The following is a 23,595-nucleotide window of genomic DNA, read 5'->3' on the forward strand; positions in this document are numbered from 1 at the left end:
GGCTAATTTTGTATTTTTTGTAGAGATGGGGTTTCTCCATGTTGGTCAAGCTTGTCTCGAACTCCTGACCTCAGGTGATCCACCTGCCTCAGCCTCCCAGAGTGCTGGGATTATAGGTGTGAGTCACCGCGCCCAGCCTCTTCTCATTCTTGTACCCATAGTAGAACTTGCTTTCTCTCATCTTACCACCAGTTGCTTGGTTCCTGAATATTTTCTCTCCTCTTTCTAGCTGGAATCCCCCAACAGGAGCCCCACTCTCCCATGCCTAGGAATACGTACTCCAAAAATATTGAAACTTGTGTCCAGAGATGTGTCTGCTAGGACATTCAACAACCTAAATGTTCATCAAAAGGAAAATCATTAAATGAATGTATAGCCATGTACATCCATATAGATATTATTTGCATGATTATATTTATAAACCTTATATATATACATATCAATTGTGTATCTGGTACTAGAATGTTTTCAAAACATTTACACACTAAATTCTGAGCAATGGCTGTCCAAGAAAGTGGAGGAGGAGTTAGTTGAAGGATTGTGGCAGAATAGGTAAACTTTTACTTTTTATACTGTGTACTTCTGTATTTTTTGAAAAATGGCCAAATGAGCATCAAAAGATTGAATGATATACATAGGTTTCCTCTAGCTAATATTTTATCTAGATTTCATTTTTCTATGAATCAGAGATCTTTCCCATTTCTCTTTGCTTGTTCTGATGATAGATGATTCCATCTTGTGATTTCTCTGTCAATTTGTAAATTAATATGACTTTCTGAGTAAATAGTTTGGATGACATTTCTTTCTTGATATCAGCATTTCTGAAAGAGTGTAGACCACTAAAAACATAGTATGAGTTATTTGTCCTGCATTCCCTTGAGACATAATGTTGAGCTTGAAAGTAGGTTTAGTTTTTTGAATACACAGTTCTTGGTTTAATAGTTAAGTGTCAGGCCAGGTATGGTGTCTCATGCCTGTAATCCCAGTACTTTGGGAGGCAGAGGCAGGTAGATCACCTGAGGTCAGGAGTTTGAGACCACCCTGGCTAACATGGTGAAACCCCATCTCTACTAAACATACAAAAAAAAAAATTACCCGGGTGTGGTGGTGCATGCCTCTAGTCCCAGCTACTCAGGAGGCTGAGGCAGAATAACTGCTCGAACCTGGGAGATGGAGTTGTAGTGAGCCGCGATTGCACAACTATACTCCAGCCTGGGTGACAGAGCGAGACTCCATCTCAAAAAAAAAAAAAAAAAAAAAAAAGTTAAATGTCTGCAGAATGCTAGATACACAATCATATGTAGAATAGCATGTTGTGCATTCATTATTTCTACAATATGAACCAAAAAAATGCAAAAATGCGTACAGAATGAGGAACGAAAGAACAAGCAAGTGTATTTTATTTATTATGATAATCCTCCTCAAGTCCCCTCTTTGCGCTTTTGATCTAGGTGAAAGCAAGCTGGGAACCTAATTAAACCAGCGCTAGAGACGCCAGGAGATACAATGCACAAAAAACCCCGATTCTGATCAACCAGATTTTGAAGTTGAGGCTAATTAAGGCAATATACAAATAATCCCTGCAAGCAGTGACATTTAAAAATGCATGTTCGGTATTCTGAAGCAGTTATGTAAATTATCAAGAATAAGACTCCAGAGGAAACGTAAAAATGCAGGCTGAACTTTTAATACCTTTTGGTTAATGTTTTTATTAGACTTAATGTTTGCTGGGGGACCGTGTGTTTGGAGGTAATCTGACAACAAAAATGTAGCCCATGACATGAGGAGCCATGGAGGAGGGAAGCCACCAAGAGGGAGACCTGTAGTTAAGGGTCGATAATAACCATAAAAGTAAGAAAACTAATGACATTCTCTCTGGTTCTGTGGCAGTTTTGAGCCTGCCTGCAAGGTAAGAAGCAGAACCAAGATGCTGAGGTGTGGCCTTAGTGCTTATGAGGTTTACACCTTGGATAGAGTCTTAGAATGGGGATGACAAAAATTTTAACTGTGAAATTGTATCATATAAGTTACAAGTCGCATGGACTTTCAAAGAATTCTAGTTCAGAGATTTCTGTAGGACGAGTAGGTAATGTGGCAATTTCTGTTTTTACATATCTGGGAAAACAAATGCAGAATATTTAATATTTCTAAGATCATGCAGCTGGCCAGTGGCAAAATGGGGAACTGACCCCTGGGGTTCTCATTCTCCCTTCTATAAGATATCTGCAAATTCTGGGGGCAGTAACTTCTGGCACAGTTGCCTCTAGAAGCAATTCTATTAACACAGGATGTAATATCATCATGAATTTCTCCCTGCTCCCCTCCCAATTATGCTTCCCCATTCCTTCCATCTTTTTCTCCTATACCATTGGCATTGGCCAACCCTTTCTTAAGACCTTCTAACTTTTCTCCCCTCCATGGCATTTCATCTTTGTATATATGTTCAGAGATCATCCTAGACATTGTGAATTCTCTTGTATACTGTCAGTTCTATTCTGGTTGGGTGCTTCTTTTTCTCTTGGTAGGAGAGAAGAGGAGAAATTGTGCTGATCTATTTTATGTAGCTCAGAAATGAATTTCTAGAGCCTCAGAGACTTATTAGAACTGGAAATGTGCTCCACATTTTGCCTATCAACAAAGCCTAATCAAGAATACATTCTTTGCCAGCAACATTCAAAACGGAGATGATTCCAAGCTGTGGCTTGGAAATAAACTCCTTTTATTGCATTTCAATTTATAGTGTTCTTTGCTTTCATTTTGCATAAATATTCAGGGAATTTTCCCATGTCGAAGAACCTGATATACAAATTAAGATATTTCAAGTAATGTCATTTATGATCTGTGGAGAGATCATTTTGGGTTGATATGCGATACTATTCTGAGTTTCAGACAACCATCTATGTACTTAGAATGTGCTCCTACATACACTTCTCACAGGAAGACTAATTGTCTTGGGATTAACAACATAATTTAATGGGACTGGTGTATTATTCAGACCTCAATTTGCAAACCTGTGGGTGTTCTTTTGTTTTTGTTCTCCTTTTCTTTTTTTTTTTTTTTTTTAGCTTTTCTTTGATTTTCCTCCCCACAAGCTCTCTCACGGGACACAGCTTGCAGAGCTGCTCAAAATTAATTTAAGACCCCAAGACAAATCACCAGTTCTTTGATTGATTTGTAGTAGCAGAATCAGGTAACATTTAAGAGCAGGATAAACAATATGTGAAGTATTCATGGAGATGGAACTGTTGCTCAGGTTGAACAATTCAAAAGTTTGGAAACTGCTATTTGCAAATTCATCTTGTGGATCTTCTTGTTGGAATGCTGCTTCTAACTAAAAACAAGGAAGAAAAAAAATCAAGTGGAATAAATGTTTAAGTTCCCAGAACCAGAAAAAATAAAACAAATCTCAAATACTCACATTAAATTAACCCTGGATTTATCTTGCTAACATGGCAAGTCATTATATACTTAACACAATTGAGATACACGATTTTGATGAGCGGACCATTTCTTGAAACAATATTTTCACAGTACGTGAAATATAAGAGCTTGGGATAACACCAAATTAACCCTGAGGGAGACAGTCATTGACATGTTCATGATTTTATATGGGAAGCTGAGGAGAGTAAAGCTGAAAAATCCGATAGATAGACAAGTCTCAAGCTGTGAATACATGTGTTTTCAAAGTCCATTTAAAATTGGTAGTCTCTAACTTTTCAGCACATTTTCCTACAATGATAATAGTGAATTCTCAATAATGTTAGCTATGGGCTAGGCCCTTTCTAAGTGCTTATGTGAATTGTCTCATTTAATTCGTTCAAAAATCCTGTGACTTAGATTATAGTTAACCTAATTTTGCAGAAGAATCTGAGGCTCAGAGAGATTAAATTGTTCAAGGTGACACAGCTGGATTCCGGGCAGTTTGACTCTAGAACCTGTATTACTACCCACTTTGTACATAGAGTTGATGGTATTAATCATAATTAGATTCTGTTCTGATTATCTGTTATTGTATAACAATCTACCCTCTTCCGCCTGCCAAATTTTTTTTTGCTCACAATTTTATGGGTCAGGAATTTAGAAAGGGCACATCCGGGCAGTTTACATTTGTCCTACCTGGTGTCAGCTGTAGACTGAGGCTGGGGGATTCACTTCCAACAGGGCTCACATGGCTGGCAACTTGGTGTTGGCTGTCAGCTGGGAACCGGATGGAGGCTGTTGGCCACGGTCCTTGGTTCTTCTCGACAAGGGGCTTTCTGTGGGCCTGCTTAGGCTTCCTCACAGGATGGTGGCTGGATTCCATGAGTGAGTGTTCCAAGAGATATAAAGTCGAAGCTGCCAATTTCTTATGGTCTGGGCCTGGAAAACTAGTACAGTGTTATTTCTGTTTGTCAAAATTGTGATAGAGGCCATTTAGATCCAAGGAGAGGTGGTCTGCTTCTCAGTGGAAAGAGTGGCAAAGAATTTGCAGTCATCCTTAATCTACCACAGGTACCCCAAATAGACCATAAAAGCCCACTTATTTACCATGTGACCTAGATTAATGTTCCTCAAAACTTATGTTCCTCAAAACTCTTCCTATATCAGGTTAGTTTTAATTTAAATCTTACTTTTTCTTTTTAGAGATAGGGTGTTGCTCTGTTGCCCAGGCTGGAGCACAGGGGCATGATCATAGCTCACTGCAGCCTTGACCTCCTGGGTTCAAGCGATTCTCGTGCCTCAGCCTCCTGAGTAGCTGGGACTACAGGCGCTCACCACCATACTGGCTAATTTTTTTTTTTTTTTTCTGGTAGAGATGGGGTGTCACCATGTTGCCTAGACTGGTCTTGAACTCCTGGCCTCAAGCAATCTGCCAGCCTCAGCCTCCTAAAGTGTTGGGATGACAGGTGCGAGCCACCGCACCTGGCCAAAAGCTTAACTTTTAAAAAACGTTTTCTTTCAACTCTTATGGTTTATGATTCTTTGAGACAAGGGTGCATTATTTTAAAATATAAAATCCCTAGAACAGAGTTGGGATTCTATATATGTTTGTCATTTTTCCTTTTGCTCTAAGCAACCATAAGATTTAACAAACAAAGAATTAGGGCCAGGTGTGGTGGCTTACGCCTATAATCCCAGCATTTTAGGAGGCTGAGGCAGGAGGACCACTTAAGCAAAACCCGTCTCTACAAAAAATGTAAATATTAACCAGGCATGGTGGTGTGTGCCCATAGTCCCAGCTACTAGGGAGGCTAATGTGGGAGGATGGATTGAGCCTGGGAAGTTGAGGCTGCAGTGAGCCATGATTATGCCACTATACTCAAGTCTGGGTGCCTTAGTGAGATCCCTTCTCAAAAAAAAAAAAAAAAAAAAGAACAAAGAATTTGGCCAGGGGCAGTGGTTCATGCCTGTAACCTCAGTGCTTTGGAAGGCTGAGGTGGAAGGGTCCCTGGATCCCAGGAGCCCCAGGCTGCAGTGAGCTATGATTGGCCATAGCACTCCAGCCTGGACAACAAGGTAAGACCCTGTCTCTAAATAAATAAACAAATAAAACCCAGAAGAACAAAATGGATTGTTTCTAAGTGCAAATATTCTACTTTATCGGTTGGGCATGGTGGCTCATAGCTGTAATCCCAGCACTTTTGGAGGCCGAGGCAGGTGAATTGTTTGAGGTCAAGAGTTCAAGACCAGCCTGGCCAACATGGCAAAACTCCATCTCTACTAAAAATACAAAAATTAGCCAGGTGTGGTGGTATGTGCCTGTAATCTCAGCTACTTGGGAGGCTGATGCAGGAGAATTGCTTAAACCCAGGAGGTGGAGGTTGCAGTGAGCCGAGATCGTGCCCCAGCGTTCCAGCCTGGGCGATGGAGTAAGACTCCATCTCAAAAACAAAAACAAAAACAGAAAAACAATAAAACCCAAATAGTCTACTTTATCTTTTACAGCATAAACATTTCATTTTCCAAGTTGCATAGTAACATTTCCTTGTCTGTCATCAAACTCCATATCTGTGGGTTTTTTTAGTAGGGGCAGGGCCTATGTCTAATTCATCTCTTATACTGAATTCCCAGAGTAAATACAGTAACCTGGGAAATAGTAGGCACTCAAAAATGTTTCAGGAATGAAATTTAACAGGCAAGAAAACAACTTGAAAATCTAACGTGTTGATTCCTAACAAAGGAAAAAATGGATCAGGTGGTGTGACAGTTTAATACACGTGTTTTTCATTTTAAATGTTTTAACACAATTGTAAACAAGAGGCACACATCATCCTATTCTGATAAATTTAAAATATACAAAGTTAATATTAATGCACAATTATGAGGATGTATATCTACCAAGGGCTATTGATTGGCACCTCAAAAGGTAAGACCTCTTTGTCTTTCTAGTGAAAATGTATTTTAATCTAATTGTATGCCATCAGGCATTTTCCATTTAGCTAAAGTTAGCTAAAGTTAACACGAATATCAAATACTTGGCCTGAAGTTCCATCTACTTAGTTTGATTTAGAGCAGCCGTGTCCCACTTGCGGCCCACGGGCCACATGCAGTCCAACATGGCTTTGAATATGGCCCAACACAAATTAGTAAACTTTCTTATAACCTCAAGAATTTTTTTGTGATTTTTATTTTTATTTTTTAGCTCATCATCTATTGTTGGTGCTAGTGTATTTTATGTATGGCCTAAGACAATTCTTCTTCTTCCAATGTGGCTCGGAGAAGCCAAAAGATTGGACACCCCTGATTTAGAGTTTCTCTTTTGGTCTTTTATTTCTTTCTCAGAAATAAAGAATAAATAAGACTGAACATGCAGAGCACTAGTTAGCTTGAACATTGGCCTTTTAGGTACCAAGCATACATTTGGATTTCCTTCTGCCACCCAAGGCCTGTGAAATCATATTGTTAAGCTGCCTCATAACACATCTAGGGGCCTCTGAAATTCTGGTCTGAGAGTTCTGGGATTATTAAATCTTGCCTAAGTTCAGAAGTGCCACTCACTGTTCACATGTGGAGAAAAGGGTTTATAGAAATTATTTCCTTCAGCAGTAGATTAAAATATTTATTTTAAAAAAAGCAAAATCAAGGAAAAGAGGAGTAGACCACACTAATAATCCACTATATAAAGGTATGTTCTTAATCTTCAATTGAAACATTCATATGTGAATAGCTAATCTTCAGGACATTGGCTCTCACAATTTTTGATGATGAATAATCCAAATTCATTGCTTCTCTTCCTATTAAAATTTGTCCTGTTTAAATAAGTGCTCTAATTCCTGTTTTGCCCCAGGTAGCAATTTAGCAAACCCATGAGTAGAAAGGAAGTTCCAAAGAAGACTCTTAAATAAATGCATTTGGCTACTTATTTTGTACTTTAGTAACAGCTCACAGACTGAAAAATCAGAATTATTTGGTAAAAGTAAGTGTGAATATTTATTCTTTATAGATTTTATTAATGCTTGTGGTCTTTTCAATGACTGCTGTGAGTAATAAAGATTAGCCTTTTACGAGGTTGAAGACCTGTACATAAGAAGGACTAACATTGAGAGCACAAGATGTCAGATTAAAAGATAAAAAATATGCATAGAAATTCTTACCCTTAAACATTTAAGGAAGATAGTCTGCAAATAAGTAAAAATCAGGTCTTTTAAATGATGATGAGGATGATGATATGGTGATGATGATGATACATAAAGGTAATGACAATAAAAACCAAAATCCATACTCTGCACATACATTTGGAAAAGATAATAAAATAAAGTGGAAGAATTCAGAAAGGTGACTAGTCTGAGCCAGCTTCTCACCTCCTTTACATACTTCCCCAACTCCAATCAGAACACTCCAGTACTGAAATGGGAAATGATGAACCAGGGCATTTAAAAAACCTCACCTCTAATTTCATTAAGACCAATTGCAAATGACTTATCTCAGAGAAATGAAGCAACTTCATCCCAGCCATTTCAATGGGGCGTTGCGTTTCAGAAGCACACACAAAAAATTATGAAAATGAGTATGCATGAAGGTTTAATAGCTAATTTTCCAAGTTGATTATCTTGGCCAGTTCATTGGGATGCTCTTGCTTCTTTGCTAATTTAATTTGTTTCATCCTTTTTATTGTTTCCTTTAAATAGCAATTAGGGAAGATAGCACTCCATTTTGCCTCCTACTTGCCCTTTTGCTAAATCATGATTTCACCCTGTGCCAGATAGTTATGGGTGTATGAAAAGATGGCACTGGTGAAAGGCAGAGCGGTGAACACACTTGACTCAAGCCTGAGGAATCCAGGAAAAAGTTGCCAATGATGAAAATTGTGTGTGTGTGTGTGTGTGTGTGTGTGTGCGCGTCCACATGTGTGTGTAGTGAATACCTTAGAACAATTCCTTTATTCACATATTCAGAAGTGTAAAACATGCCTATTTGGAAGTACAGATTCACTTACATAATGTCTACCAGTGTGCTGCAGTTATTTAAAAGCTAGCTATCAACTTGGTAAGATATGGGAACTTTTCTATTTTGTACCTACTGTTTTAAAACTGCTGTATATATTTGTACACGTGACAAGCAGCTATTAAATGTTATAATGATTTTTTATTATACTGTCATTAAAAGGCATTTATCAAGTGCTTGTTTTAATGTAGCCCTATCTTAGGTGAGAGAAAAGAGGGCCTCCTTGATATGTAACACTCCACTGATAAAATTTGCAGTCTGTTCTTAAAACACTGTATATTCTGATGAGGAAAGTACAAAAGGTCTCAACATGTATTAATTTTATGCCTTTTTTTGTAGGCAAAAGAAGTAGGAAGAACAGTTTCTGTTCTCAGGCAGGTCTATTTGGGGATAAAAATAGAATATGAAATAGAATGCAATAAACAAATTACATAGCTATACTTTTTGAAGTCCAGGTCGGGCAGTGAGGTTAGGCTGGAAGACCTCTTAAGTTGTGAAAGCTTGGTTAAAGATAGGAGTTGACATGGCCTGAGTGTCAGCCAGTGGGGTTCTCTGTCACCAGATGGCTTTGTTAATTTGCAAAGTCCACAAAAAGTCATCAATAGTCATTGCTCTCTTTCTCTACCGAGTCCCTTAGTCTTCGGGCTCATTTCATCCAAATTAATGAAAGGAAAATCTATAAACAACAGCTTTATTGGGAGTTAAATCTCTAAGGAAAAAGCAGAAATTTGTAGATCTTCAAAGCAGTGTTTGCTCTCAGGTATCTCCTTTTATGTTTATTTATTTATGCCCTATTAGGAAGTATTTTCATTGTTTTTCTTAGAAAAAGTTTTCCAGACACTAACAGCTCACAACATTTCAACAGCAAAGTTATTAGTTGAGAGAAGGGTTTTCAGGAGTTGGGGATTCTAGAGTATGAGGAAGAAATGTTGGTATCCCGCTTCATTATAGATGGATGGCATAGGTCATAAATGGGAGACTCTGGCTGCTAAGCCAATATCAAAACCCACTGGACTGGCATTTCCTTCTACAGAGTTTATTTTCCTTCCTGTTGTCTTCCTGTCCCACGGAAATCCCTGCCACCATGTAAAGCCCACTGGCAGCTAGCTTAGGCTCCAGTCTTCCCCCTTGGGTAGGAAAGGGAGTGAAGGGAAGGTCACTCCTGAGTTTCCATGCTTTCCTCTTTCTCTCCTTGAGGTGGTTCTTCTGTCTTCTCCTTTTCTTCCTCTCCTCCCTGTTTCTCTGGCAGCTTCTCTTAAGCCTTTTCTGAAGGTGTTACTATCACTCCATCCCAGGTAGATATTTTGGAAGCAAGATGGCTGGCATCGTCCTCCTGGCCAAGGATCTTCCTAAAGCCACCAGAGGATTCAGACCAGAGTCAGAGCTGTGTGGCAGACCATGTCCTGCAGTTGCATGGTCATGACTGTGTGTACTCTCACAGGGGTCAGTGACACCCAGTGACCCTGGTGGGAACTGTCCTGCAGCCAGAATTTGCAAGCAATGCTCATATGCAACATTTAGGGCCAAAGGCTGTCTGGTGAGGTTGTTCATCACAGCAGAATGACCCAGTAGGTCAAGGATCCAGAATGTGAGTGGCTCAAAGCCAGGAAGACAAATCCTCAAGTCCTTGAGTAGTCTGATGAGAACTTTATGGACTGAGAGGCACTTCTCTCAATCCAGCAGGCAGGGCAGATGACTGCCAAGGCATTCTGCAATACCTTGCTATCCAAATAGACTTTGGGGTCCAGTTTTCCAAGATTGAGTGACACTATTGTAATGAGAATCTTCACTGGAGCATCAGAAGAACTGATTTCAAGCCAGTTTTGTTGGTCAGCACGGTCAAAACTTCAGAAGAATCTTGTGCTCTGAGGCTTTCCAAAGCTTTGTTCCCCAGGGCAGTAACAGCTTCCAGTGTTGGCAGAGTCTTTAGTATTATCACCAGGGCAGCTGCACTGTGGCCTGTAGCCATCTTTCTCTTTTAGTACGATCCCACCTGTCAGACTTCTTGAATTTGCACTTCAAATTAGAGCCACAATCAAATTATCAGTCACGTTGTTTATTTTTGTCACCAGAGAAAGGACAGAGTCCTGTTCAGCAGAGTTGGGAGCCAGGTACTGATCTCTCTTCAGCAAGGCCTCACTGAAGGACATTTCATCAGGTGCTGGCTTGACCCCTGGGAAGGCCATTTCACACAGATGGAAATCAAATGGGATATGTGGCACAAAGAGCCTGAACCCTCCTCTTGGGCCTCTTCTGGAACCAAAGCGCCCACCACGACCATGGCTTCTGTCATCTCTCATGGCACCTTAAATCCCCCACACTGGAGGCTGCACTAACCACCCCTTTCCTCTCAGATACCTCATTTTAAATCATGGTAGGCTTAAACTTTATAAGCCTTTAGCATTACACATTCCATTGTTTATCTTTCATTCTCTAGCATTTATGAAGGTAGAATTTTCCTCTCCAAATTGTAATGTGATGATGAAATAGCAGAAAAGATCTCACTTTTCTCCCCTTGGAAGAAATATGGAATTCAGAAATACAGTCTAGAATCTGTCCTCAGCTCAGCCATTCCTGATTCAGTGTTACAATTGTCCAGAGAGGGCAAATTGCCTTTGGAGCTGAGAGGGTCTGTTACAAGATTCTCTAGTTATTCCTGTAACTAGAATGCATTAGCCTTAGAAGAGGTGTTTGTATACTGGGCGAGGGATCCTAGTTTGAATGAATGAATGAATAAGTGAGGAATCTAAAAAGCCATTGGGAGGCTTAAAGAATGGCAGCTCCTTCTCTGGCTCTGCTGTGAGTCATCATTGGGAAAATAAGCAGCCTTCACTTTAGTAGAGGGCAAGGCAGCATCCTCAGTGGAAATCCTGCCATGCAGTTGGAGTTAGTGTTCTGGGAAAAGGCTGAGAGTTCAGCAGAGTTTATGAACTTGGGAGTTGGAATTCTAGAAGAGCAGCTATGGGAAGATGATTTGCTAAGGAAGAACGTAGAACCAAATTGGAGTGTGTGTGTGGGAGGGGTGGGATGACTAGAGAGGCTTATATTTTGGCAGCTTAGGAAGACCTGGGTGAAATGGAAGGTCAGATGAAACGATCTCAAGCTTCCATTGTGAAATTGTTTCCATTCTGCAGCTTCAGGGGTATGTGTGATCTTGTCATCTTTCCTCTGTCCTATAATCTCTCCACAAGGCCTGTGCTCCATACAGTCCAGCACATAGTAGGTGTTCAACAAAAATTTATGGATACCATGACTTCATTAAGAAGCATACAGACAGGAAATGCAGAATACAGGCTTAGGTCTTCATTGCTCCTAACTGCTAGACCTTCTGTGTCTCCAAATTATTTTTGTTAAGTTAGTTCAAATACTTGCAGTGCTTTCCTGTAGAAGACGGATTCAGCCAGTTCAAAACTACCTCTAAGGGCAGAACTGAGGACACTGGTAGAAGTTAGTGGGAAGTAGATTTTGGCTTAGAATTTTCTAATAACTAAATTTCAGAATTAAAAGGGTACTGTTTTTTAAAAAGTAGTGAGCCTCCTAACACAGGAAGCATGCAAGTAAAAAACTGCATGTCTATGTCTTAGGGATGTTTTAGAGAGGATCCCTTCCACCACCAAGAGTTTCGTATTATTTCTGTTATTGTGTTAAGTGATGGTCTAATATGATAAAATACAAGTAATCTATTTTGGAAAGGAGACATAGATACAATTATTGAAAAGCACAATAGAGAAAAAGATTGCATCTATATTATTGTTATATAACCATATGCCAATATGTCTAGTACATAGTATTAGAAAATGTGTCAGGGTGTAATAAGTAACTTTTTAGAATGCCCTATGCAGAATGTAGAAGCAAATCTGAATTAAAAATGCAGAAACTGAAGAGGACTGGAGTCATTAGGGAAGGCTTCATGGGCAGCTGGTTCTTTAACAGGGCCTTGGAAAAGGTTAGAATGAGGACAGGCAAAGGGGAAGTCCCTCCAGGGAGGACTGTGCAGGAGTATTAGTGGGAGGAGGTGTTGGGAGGAGGCAGGATGATTGGCCTCACTCAGGGTCTCTGTACGTATGTGCTTTGCACAGCGAAGATGGGAACAATCAATGGTCATTTGAGGAAATGACACACACTTAAATCCCTCTTGTCTGAAATCCTGCAGTATCCTGAGTTCCATTGGCCTGCGGGCTGAGAGACCTGGGAGTCCCAGCTGGGTTCCTAACTAGCTGTTTGGTCAGACACATCACTTAACCACCCTGAGCCTTATTTTTCTCAATTATAAGCCAAGACAGTTGGTTAAATCAGTGCTTCTTAAACTTTAATGTGCAAATGGAGAGATTGTTAAAATGTAGCTCTGATTTCATGGGTCGGGGCAGGGCTTGAGACTCTGCATTGCTAACAGGCTCAAAGGCGATGGCGATGGTAGGGTCAGCAGACCACCCTTTGAGCGGTAAGGGGTTGTATGACTTACGTGCCTCCGTGATATGAGCACTCTACAAACTAGTTTTAATTATGGTCTCATACTTTTTTTTTTTTTCATAGTTGTTTTCTTATTAGGTAATACGATTGAGAAGTATCTAGCACAGAGCTGAGTCCACAGTGGGTACTCAGTAACATTTGTTTATTCACGTCAAGTTTCTCCCTTGGATACTCTGCTTACCTTAGAAATGCAGTCGTTTTTGTTCAGTCCTGCATTTCAAACATGTAGTGCAGGTTCAGCAAATCTAATAAAACTCAAAGAAAAATCTCAGTGCTTTTTAGATCTCTTCTCTTATCTCATGACTCCTGTTTCTTCCAGTAGGAAAGGAAGTAATGTGCTGTCTAAATATCTGATTGTTGTGTTGCTTTAGGGAAAAACAATTAGATTGCCTTGCCATTTGCCAAATAGATGGAATGAAGGTTTCACTCCATTAACACTCATTCCATGAGTCATTCTAAATTCTTGACAGTATGCCAATAAACCCCAGTTAATTCACCAAAATTGCCGCTGGTAGCATTTTGCCTCTGCAGGTAACCAGCAGCACTGTAATCACTTACTCCACAAAGATAATGAGGTTGTATGGTTTTTATTTATGCTACCAATTTGTTTTAATATTGTTATTGTTCCTTTTATAGTAAGGCAGATTGGTCTCTGTCTTAAAGGACTGAGAAAGAAGGGATATTAAGGTTCCCAAACTGAATGTAAGTATTAATATTGAAAATAGTATTATTGTTTTTTGGACTGACAGTAGTAATTTAGAAGTGTTCTCAAGAGGTTGTATTGATTGAATATATACTTATTTGATTCTTCAAGATTTTTACCAGACTCCAGTTGGCTTCTAACAAAAGGTTTATACAGATAATGAGATTCCTTCCAGTTCTAAAACACTATAACCTCATGAAATATGACCAAGAGTAATGTACACACAGGACAATTTACACTTGGAAAATGAAGTCGAGCAAGTTGTTCCTGAGGTTTTTTGCTTGCCAACTAATGTAAGACAATATCATTGAAAAGAAAGAAGAGAAAATACAGATACAAGCATTTGTCCTTCAGGGTAATCTAATAACTCAGTAATAAGAATCTGTCACACAAATTTGGTATGAAATCTCTGCAAATTAGAGAAATCCATTACAACAATCAATCTAATAGAATATCAACATACCTCTGAATTTGTTTTGTAAAGAAATATGCTGTCTGTACCCAAGCCATATTTAAGGGTTATTCCATAGTTTATTTTGGTTGAGAAAAACTAATTTGAGTCACTAGACTTTAGATAAGTGTCAGAAGTCCATATTTAACTCGTTTAGGCAAAAGGGATATTTAATGGAAGGATCTTGGGGTAGCCGACATGACTGAAAGAAGAGTAGGATGACCAAGTCACCAGCCGGGCAGGAAGGAATGCAGTGGGGCCTCAGGAACCCTCAAACCAGGAACCAGCTTGTCAGGACTTTGTCTCTCTTTTTGGTTTTTACTTCTCTTGGTGCCGGCTCTATTTTCTCCCACTGCAGACCAGCTTTCTCCACTTGGCAGTTAATGGGGCTGTTGACACCTTGCATGGGAGTTCTTTTACAACTTCTTCTATCAGAGAGACAGACTGACTCTCCCAGATTAATTTTTTTAAAAGGCTAGGGGAGAACTCTGGGTGGCCGGGTCAGGTGGCTGCTCAGCCTTGGATGCCAGCTGTGTCTAGGAGGGCACGATCAGGTAAGAACATGCCACATTTTCCTGTAACCACATGGTTGGAGTTGGGAAGGGGGAAATTAATTGAACATGAGGGAGGAATACATTTGCTAAAAGATGGAGGCCAGTGGCTGGGCAAGGACTCCCAATGTGTTGGTCCATAAGATAGTTTGGAGTAGCACCCTATCCTTGCTTTAATTCTCCTTGCCCCTCTACTGCTTACAGCAGGTTGGGAATTCTATGCTAGGTGTTCTATAGTCCTATCATATAAGCTGCAGGGGTCTTGCACTGTCTACTCCTTAGAAAACAAAACTGCCTGTGTTTCCTGGGCCCCACAGTTGTCTATGTGGTGGGTCTATTACTGCTTTTGTAATCGATTAGCCTGAGTTACAGAAGAGGGAAAGGACAGGCTGACAGATGGTATTTGCAGTAGGTGCAGGAGAAGATTTGAGTGTCTCCTAATACAAGTCCCCTTCCTACTCCTCCCTCCTGTCTGCCCTCACCAGCCAAGGAACATGTGTGGTCCTCACAAGTAGACTGCAAGCCACCCAGGAGGCAAGAACAATAGCATGCATGCCTTTAAATCCTGGGAATCTCTGAATACGGTTCTTACACAGCATGAAAGTGTAACACATATTTATAGATCTGATGTTAAACCAAGTTTAACCTGTATAAAAATAAAAGAGATGTAGCTGAGTTACATTGTGATTTTTAAAGTTCCTCAAATGTGAGCATTTTGCATGCAGTATGCACATTGCTATTGTTTCCAAGTGTAAATAAGAGGGCAGAGTCCTATTTATTGGTAATTCTATTGTAGATCTATAATAGATGTATGATACTCTTCGTAAAGACACAGCTACAGCAGTTTTAATTATTCACCCATAATGAATGAACCTGGTCCCTACTTAAGAAATGCAAGATTTGTATGATTCAAGCATATTCTCTCTTACAGGCAGACACTAATGAATCCTATGAAGGTAATAGACTCTTATCATTGAACCAGAGCCTGAACAAATGTGTTCATTAGTCTTACTTGTCTTCTGATGATAGAAAAGCTGAATCTTGAGCTGGACACATGTCCAGATTTGAACTTCTTTAAAACATAGGGGTTATATTTTAACAGAAAACTTTATAATCAGTGGATTGTTATCATTTGTTGTAGAAAAGAATTTGCTTCTGATGCTTATCATGAAGATTCTTATGGATACTTTGCATTTTTTCCTAAATGGAAATCTTTTTATTATTTTTTCCTGATTTTATAAGTAACACATTCTCTTTGTAGGAAATTTAAACACTTCAGAGGTGAATATTAAATTTAAACAATTCAAAACTCCCATAATTATATTCATCAAAAAACACTTAACATTTTGATGCATATTTATTTATATTATTTAACAAGCTATTGTACAGCAATTTGTATACACTAAGCTCCTGTCCATCCACTTTACAATTGTGCTTCATTTACTCCTCTTGACAACCCTATGAGGTATTATTATTTCCCTATTTACAGAGAAGGAAATGGAGTCTCAGAGGCTTTAATAACTTGCGCAAAAGTACATGGTTATAAGTGGCAAAGTTGGGATTCCAACACAGACCCTCGGACTCCAGAGTCCCTGCTCTTAGTTATATACCAGGCCTCTATGCATCCTTCCATATCTCCATGCCTAAAATTTAAAAAAATATATCCCATGTTTCCAAGTTGACCTGCCTCCTGCAGTCAATTTTTCCTTTAATAGCCTCTTAAAATGGGTCGAGACCCCATCCACGGAAAGTGGGAAGTCCACTGTGCCTTTTCCCCAGTATTTCTGTGAATTCCAGGCTGTGTTGTGCTCTGGGACATTCTTCTGAATCCTACTCCCTCACAGCATCTTGTCCATTCATTTGCTGTCTTGTCTCTTTGTCTCTGGACACCTCCTCAATGTACCACTAACATAGATAAATTGGTTATATGTAGAGAACTTTTCCTGAAGATCTGAGGATAAGGAAGATAATTACAATTAGGAAAAAAATTAACACAGTGTTTGAAATGATTGTTCTTAGACCCTGAGGGAAAATTAAAATGTCAAAAATTTAAAAATAGTTCCTCTTTGGACACATTCCAACTCCCAATATTACTCTCCTATCTTGTGAGCTGCTTTGTCTCTGACTCCTCTCAATTACTTTTTTCCTTGTTTAATATTCTTAACCCCCACCCCTCCACTTTTTTTGAGACAGAGTCTCCCTCTGTTGCCCAGGCTGGAGTCCAGTGGTGCGATCTCAGCTCACTGCAACCTCCGCCTCCCGGGTTCAAGTGATTCTACTGCCTCAGCCTCCCAAGTAGCTGGAATTACAGGTGTCCGCCACTACTCTCGGCTTATTTTTGTATTTTTAGTAGAGGGGTTTTGCCATGTTGGCCAGGCCAGCCTCAAACTCTTGGCCTCAAGTGATCCGCCCTCCTTGGCCTCCCAAAGTGCTGGGATTACAGGAGGGGAGCCACCATGCTCAGTCCCCTTTTTACCTAGGTTATCACCCCCAAACCCCAGTCCTTTCTTCCTTTTTTATGCAAAATGACTTAGCTCTACTTCTCAATTTTAAAATCTGTTGTTTTTCCAGTGCTTCTCAATTGGTGGGTGGTGGTGTACGTATGAGTTTGCCTTTCAGAAGCTATTTTTGTTGTGATAACAAAGAATTATTCAGCTCTAAATGTCAATAGCACCGAGGCTGAAAAACCCCAATCTATAAAAACTGTTTATTTTGCTTTTGGGAACTGTTTTCCATCACTTGAATGGTATAATTTTGGGGGAGCCCAAATTACCTAGTAGTCATAGTATATACTATGTAAGTCATAGTGCCTACATAATACCTTCAGAGCAAACCACAGTACCTGCTCTCTGACTCTTACAGTGAGCACCCACAAGGCTGGGTCCAATTTTGGGGGACTCGGTATGGACATTTGGATCAAGTTGGACCAATCCTCACCTGGATTGTATTATTGTATTCTACAGATGCCTTCCTGCATGTGTGGAGGGAGGGAATTGACAGGGATATTCATTGCAACACCATTTATGATAGCAAAAGCTCAGTAACAACCCAAGTGCTCATCAATAGGTGACTGATTAAATTACGGTAAAGCCGTACAAAAAATACAAAGATACGGTAAAGCCGTATCATGGTCATTTGTACCAGTACCAGGTTAACTGGGTAAACTTAGAAGTACATTTCCCAGAACCCCTTTCCTGTAGGATTCTAAGTGATAATTGGCCAAAAGAGGAATTAGTGGGACATTTGAAAGGTGGAAGTGAACAGTACCTGTTTCTCTCTTAAAGGCATGGAGATTGGATGGGAGACAGACTCAGAGAGGCTGGTGGTTGCTGGCAAGCCCTCACTCTTCTTTGCCCCATGTTCAACTTCTCCTCCTGACTGGCACCTTGCTAGAGACCCACAGAGGAAACAGCCTCCCATAGATTCCCCCCAGCTTCCCCTTTGTTGATCCGCTTTGTGGCCTGAAGTACTGTAGGGGCTTCTCATATTGACTAGCAACTCTTCAGAAATGTCAAACTCTTCCCTCCCAGATCTTTACTTCCCCAGCTCCCCCAACACTTGTACAAGGTCTAATTTGTATACTATCTCTCTCAGCCCATAACTTTAAGTGGTTTTGCCTCCCTGATAAACTCTGGCTGATACAACTACATGACCTTAAAAAATAATGCAGCAGCTCCATATACCAATATAAATTCATCTCCTAGATAAAAGGGAAAAGAGCAAGCTGCTAAACTGATGAAAAATATTACAGATAAAGCTAGAGCCCCCTTTGACCAATACCTCTAATCCTGGTCCCCATTTCTTTCCCCCAGAGACTAATACTATTATTAGTTCTAACTAAATTCTTATGGTCTGAGGAAGAGTCCTTAGCAAATTGTAACTCCTGTAGGAGACATTTTGCTAAGATTCTTTTATTAACATATATATAAGTAACATACAATAAAATGCACAGATTTTAAGTGCTCACATGATGAGTTTTGATACCTGTGTAACATCACCCCTTAAAAAGATATGCAACATTTCCACCCTCCACCATTTTCCTTGTGCAATTTTCTAGAAAATTACCCTACTTCTGCAACCATGATCTCATTTCTAGCTCCATAGATTTGTTTACCTGTATTTGGCTTTCGTAGGAATGGAATTATATAATGAGTACTGTTATGAGTCTGGCTTCTTTCATTCAACATGATGTTTTTGAGATTTGTCCATGTTGTTTTATGTATTAGTAGTTCATACTTTTTATGCTTGAATATTCCATTGTATGAATCTACATTCCTGTTGATGGACATTTGTTTCCAGTTTGAGGCATTCTAAATTCCTGTAAGTTTTTTAATATAGCAAAGAGATTGTTGAGATTATGATTATTAGTATTTGAAAGACCGTGCAATCTCTAATTTTCCCAGAGAACTTTACCTCCTTCCACGAGGAATCACAAATTAGGTACAAAGTTATGATTTCTGTTTTTTTTCAGAGCCTTTCCATAGTTGTGGGAAAGAAGATGGGTAAAGTTATTGTTAATCTACAGAGGAAGGAATGATGCCAAGTTTTTCAAGGCTTCCAGAGTCACAGGAGGAGTCACTTGGTAAATCCAGGAGCAGAAACCAGGTACCAGTTGGAAGACCACAATGTGTTTGTTCAGACCTGTGGGCCTCCTGGATCCTTAGCAAAAGACCACACAGACAAGTGTTGAATGCAGCTTTTAAAAGTATGGAAGGGACAGTAAGACAGTTCTAAGCGTGGACTAGAATATAATTTAAGGTTTCTGTGACACGGTGTTAGGACTCTTTCCTAGAATTATGAGAGCTGAACTAACAGCTCCCAGATAACTGAAGCATAATAATTAATCTAGAAAAGCGGCCTCTTCTTTTCTGTGGTTGAACCTAAGTGTAGTTTTTACTTTTAACTAAAACTAGGTCAATTAAGACCATTGGAATTCTGTGACTGAGGATGTGTGGTGTTTATTGGGGATTTAAAATAAGATTTTTGTTCTTTTATAAATTTTAATATAAATAGATTGTTTTCCCTATAGTATTTAGTGTTAATTAATGGGGCTGACACAATTAATGGCATCAAGAACATATAATTATGTTTATTATACTAAGAAATTATGCAATTACGTAGTTGTTTAATAGGTTAAGTGATCTTATAGATATTTTTATCGTTTTTGCAACAGCTTTATCCTGATTTCTTTGTGAGAAAGCTTTTAATGTTTCAAAAATGTTGAGACAGACTTTTGTTAAATTAATCGCATGAAAAATAGTATATCTTTTTCAGTAACTGGGGATTTTCATAAAAGCCATCAAAGATATAATATTAGAAGATCTGCTGTTAAGATAGCTGTTGTCATAAAAAACTGTTGATGAATTTTGAATTTTGACTATTAACTGTCCATGCTAATCAGATATTCAGAGAACAATAAACAGCATTTGCTAAATTCATTTTTAAGGAAGTCTCAGTTAATATAACTGATTCTTTTATATCTCCTCCTAAAAGAAGGTATTTCTTTGAAATATGCTCTTGCTCAAAGTTTAAGATCTGTAACAATTTATCATGCTCTCAGAGTCTAGTCTTAAGCAATTTAATATCATTGTGACAGGTATTTATTTACCATTGAAGTAAGAATCATTATTTGCTGACACTTTTTTTGACACTTTATGATTTATCTTTAAGTAGTCCTATTAGATGTGATAGGAATGAATTAACTTAATTTTATCATGATGCTCATAACTTTATTTCCCCCACAGAGGCAGCAAAGCAGTCTTCGTGCATGCTACACATCTGATTTTTCTCTTCCCAATGCTGTTTTTTTCAGTTCGTGCTTCATTAGTAAAAATATGTGTCCTAATTTAAAACACACTCAATTCTGAACCCGGAATATTCCTTTAAGTAGATACATTTGAGTAGGTCTGTTCTCTTGAAAGATAGCTTTCACCCAAATGCAGTGTCTGTTTAGTATTTTTGTACCATAGAATAATATGTTTTGAATGTTGTTATTTACCTGTGAGTTCTTTACCCTTAGTTTTTTGCTCTGTCTGCAGGTTAAGTGACTAGCCTAAGGTAAGAGCCAGATTTGGAGCTTGGAATCTGATAGCCCTTAGGGTGCTTTATTCCCTGAGCCAATCCACACTTCTACCTCAGTAAAGGAATCAACTGAGGGCTCAGCTTTTCCTCTGCAAGAAACCTGCTCTCTGGGACAGTAAGTCACGACCCCTGTGAAAACATCTAAAAAACATATTCAACTTTGTTATTGCTTCATGGCCTCCTAACAGTACAGAGTGATAGCCTCTTCGTGAGGGAAGTCTATTGAAGGCAGGCTGCTGTGTAATGCCATGGATCTGATTTTTCTGTGGACCACTCTGTCTGTATTAATCATGTCGTTATACGGAGACCATAAGGCATGAATGACATCGCATGTGTGAAAAGAAAATATGAGTTTTGTGATTTGGCTGAATGGAAAAGTGCTGTGTCCAGTGTCACAATACCTTTTCTGACTTCAGCTGAATATTGCAGTCTAAATCACCACACAGTTCAGGTCTTATTTCCATATGGTGGCATCTGATACTGTTCATTTACTGTTTGGGTGTCAGTCTTGCCTCTCTCAGAACATACTGATCTGTTTGTGTTGGGGGATCAAGTCATATCATTAGTATCCCTTAGTACATCTGCTATGGTCTGAATGTTTGTGTCTCCTCCCCTACAAATTTATATCTGGAAATTCTGTCCCTCAAGGTGATAATATTAGGAGGTGGGGCCTTTCGGGAGGTGATTGGGTCATGAGGGTAGAACCCTTGTGAATGGGATTAACGATCTTATACAATAGGCCCAAGGGAGCTCATTCATCCCTTCCACCACGTGAGGATGTGGTGAGAATGTGCTATCTATGAACCAGGAAGCAGACCCTCAGCAGACACTGAATCTACCAGTCCCTTGACCTTGGACATCCTAACCTCCAGAACTGTGAGAAATTCCTGTTGTTATAAGCCAGCCCTTTTATAGTATTTTGTGATAGCAGCCTGAATGGACTAAAACAATGTCTAAGACATTTGGCTGATTTAATTGTTGACTGAAAGAACTTTTTTCAAGGATATGGTACATAATTATATGAATGTCCTTTATTGCCAGCAATACTGACTGTACAACTTATGAAGTATAATAGCATGATGATTAAGAGCTTGGTTTCTGGAATCTGACTATAACATTTCTTCTACTTGCTATCTTTGGAATCTGAGACACATTCCTTAACCTCTTTGGGTCTTAGTTTCCTCATCTGTAAATAATAATAATAAGGGTTACTACCCATAGTGTTGTTATGAGTTTTAGATGAGTTACTATTGGTAAAGCAGAGAACAGTGTCTGGCACATAAGAAGGGCTTGCTATTGCTATTTTAAGAAATAGTTAAGCCTATAGGGTCTTGACATCCAGGTTGGCTATGGTTTGTGGGTTCAGGAAACCTGAAGATTCTATTCACACCTGGCCTAGGATCTCTGTGAAAAGTTTTGAGTTATGACTCCAGAGCTGGCTCTGGAAAGTTTCCCATTGGTCAGATGAGTACATGTGAGAAATGGAATTGAGTACGAATATAGCCATTTGCAAAAATTTTGGCCTGAGGCTAAGATGAGTTACATTGATTGACTCAGAAGTCGTGGCAATAGTCTAGCCCTATGTACTAGAAGTTCTGTTATTTCAGCAAGAAATAGTTAAAGAAAATTCATCAGAGGATCCTAAGGCTCAATGAAATTCTGAATTCAAAATCTCTTTCAGAAAAGTCACTTACCGTTACAGTAGGTTCCAGTTAGTTGAAGTGTAGTCAACCCGAGCTTTGGTTAAATAATCATGTGGTTCTGAACCACGTGGAGCAAATGGTAATGGAGAATGTGGTCACTCATCTCCAAAGCTGGCCCACAGGGAAGTCTCCTTTCCAGCACTCACACTTGTTTGGTCTTCTCCCCATGAATCCAGGATGGTCCTCCAACTTGCTTTTGCCCCCACAGAGTGCAGGGGATGCAATGCTCTGTGGCTTCTGAGGCTAGGTCATAAGAAGGCTCACAGATTTTGCCTTTCTTCCTGGAAGGCTCTGGGGGAGGCTAGTCATGAGGCAAAAAGTCCAACTCTCTGGAAACAGCCATGCTGTGAGGAAGTGGTGTACCAAGGCTGGGGGCAGTGGGAATGGTCCACTTAAAAGTACAGAGATTAAAGGGATGCATTGTCTATAAAGAATTTAAAAAGTTTACTAAAACCAACTAAAAGTTGGTCTTCCTTTTCTTATCAGCATGCACAAGCAATTCTAAACAAGGCTCAGCGATAACATATCCCTTCCCATGAGTGGATCACTCCCACTGCCTCTTTCACACACCCTGCCTCCTGCAAGCCAATGCTGTGAAGCCCAACCTAGCCATGTGGCAAGGGAGATGTCTGCCCAGTCTCCAGCTGCTCCAGCCATCCCAGCTCAGGCACCAGTCACTTGAGGGAAGAAGCCATCTTGGATGTCCAGCCTAGTCTGGCTTTGAGAAGACTCTAGCTCCTGCTGCCATCTTACTGCAGTTTCATGAAGGATCAAATGTCATAGCCATCCAGCCGAGCCTTGGCAAACTACAGACTGTATAAGGAGTTTTTTTAGGGCACTCTGTTACGCAGCAATTGATAAACAAAAAAGAGAAGAGGCATGCAAGAAGAAGAGAGCCTCTTCTCTCTTAAAATAGCAACAAGTGTCCTTGGCTGTGTGGGGTCTCTAGAGATCAGCTAATCTTGATGTTGACAGAGGCCAAAAGTACTTGATTTCACTACCGGATGGAAATTATATCTGTGTAGATGTTGCTAAGCAACAAGAGATCAGAAACCTATAAGGAGTGACCATATAATGCAAAGCATTGAGTCAGCCAACTGAGTTCCTCCTGCACTTATTTTTTAGAACCTGCTTATAAAAGAAGCAATGTCCACAATGTGTGGGGGGAGGAAAGTCTCCTGGGACCTTAAGAGGAAAGCGTACACTTCATCA

At 39.6% G+C, this 23,595-nt stretch overlaps 1 long non-coding RNA gene and 1 pseudogene across 1 annotated transcript; both read right to left on the minus strand.

Moving 5' to 3' along the window:
* Positions 1–1,518: 1,518 nt before the first annotated feature.
* On the minus strand, positions 1,519–23,116 carry LOC105370452 (uncharacterized). Its single transcript, XR_943752.3, has 3 exons — positions 22,375–23,116; positions 4,117–4,359; positions 1,519–3,331 (listed from the first exon to the last, which is right to left on the minus strand). It is a non-coding gene; the product is annotated as an uncharacterized LOC105370452 (long non-coding RNA).
* Positions 9,213–10,778, minus strand: ILF2P2 (interleukin enhancer binding factor 2 pseudogene 2; annotated as a pseudogene).
* Positions 23,117–23,595: the final 479 nt, after the last annotated feature.

The sequence above is a fragment of the Homo sapiens genome, chromosome 14 (genome assembly GCF_000001405.40).
Source record: "Homo sapiens chromosome 14, GRCh38.p14 Primary Assembly".
NCBI classification, from domain to species: domain Eukaryota; kingdom Metazoa; phylum Chordata; class Mammalia; order Primates; family Hominidae; genus Homo; species Homo sapiens.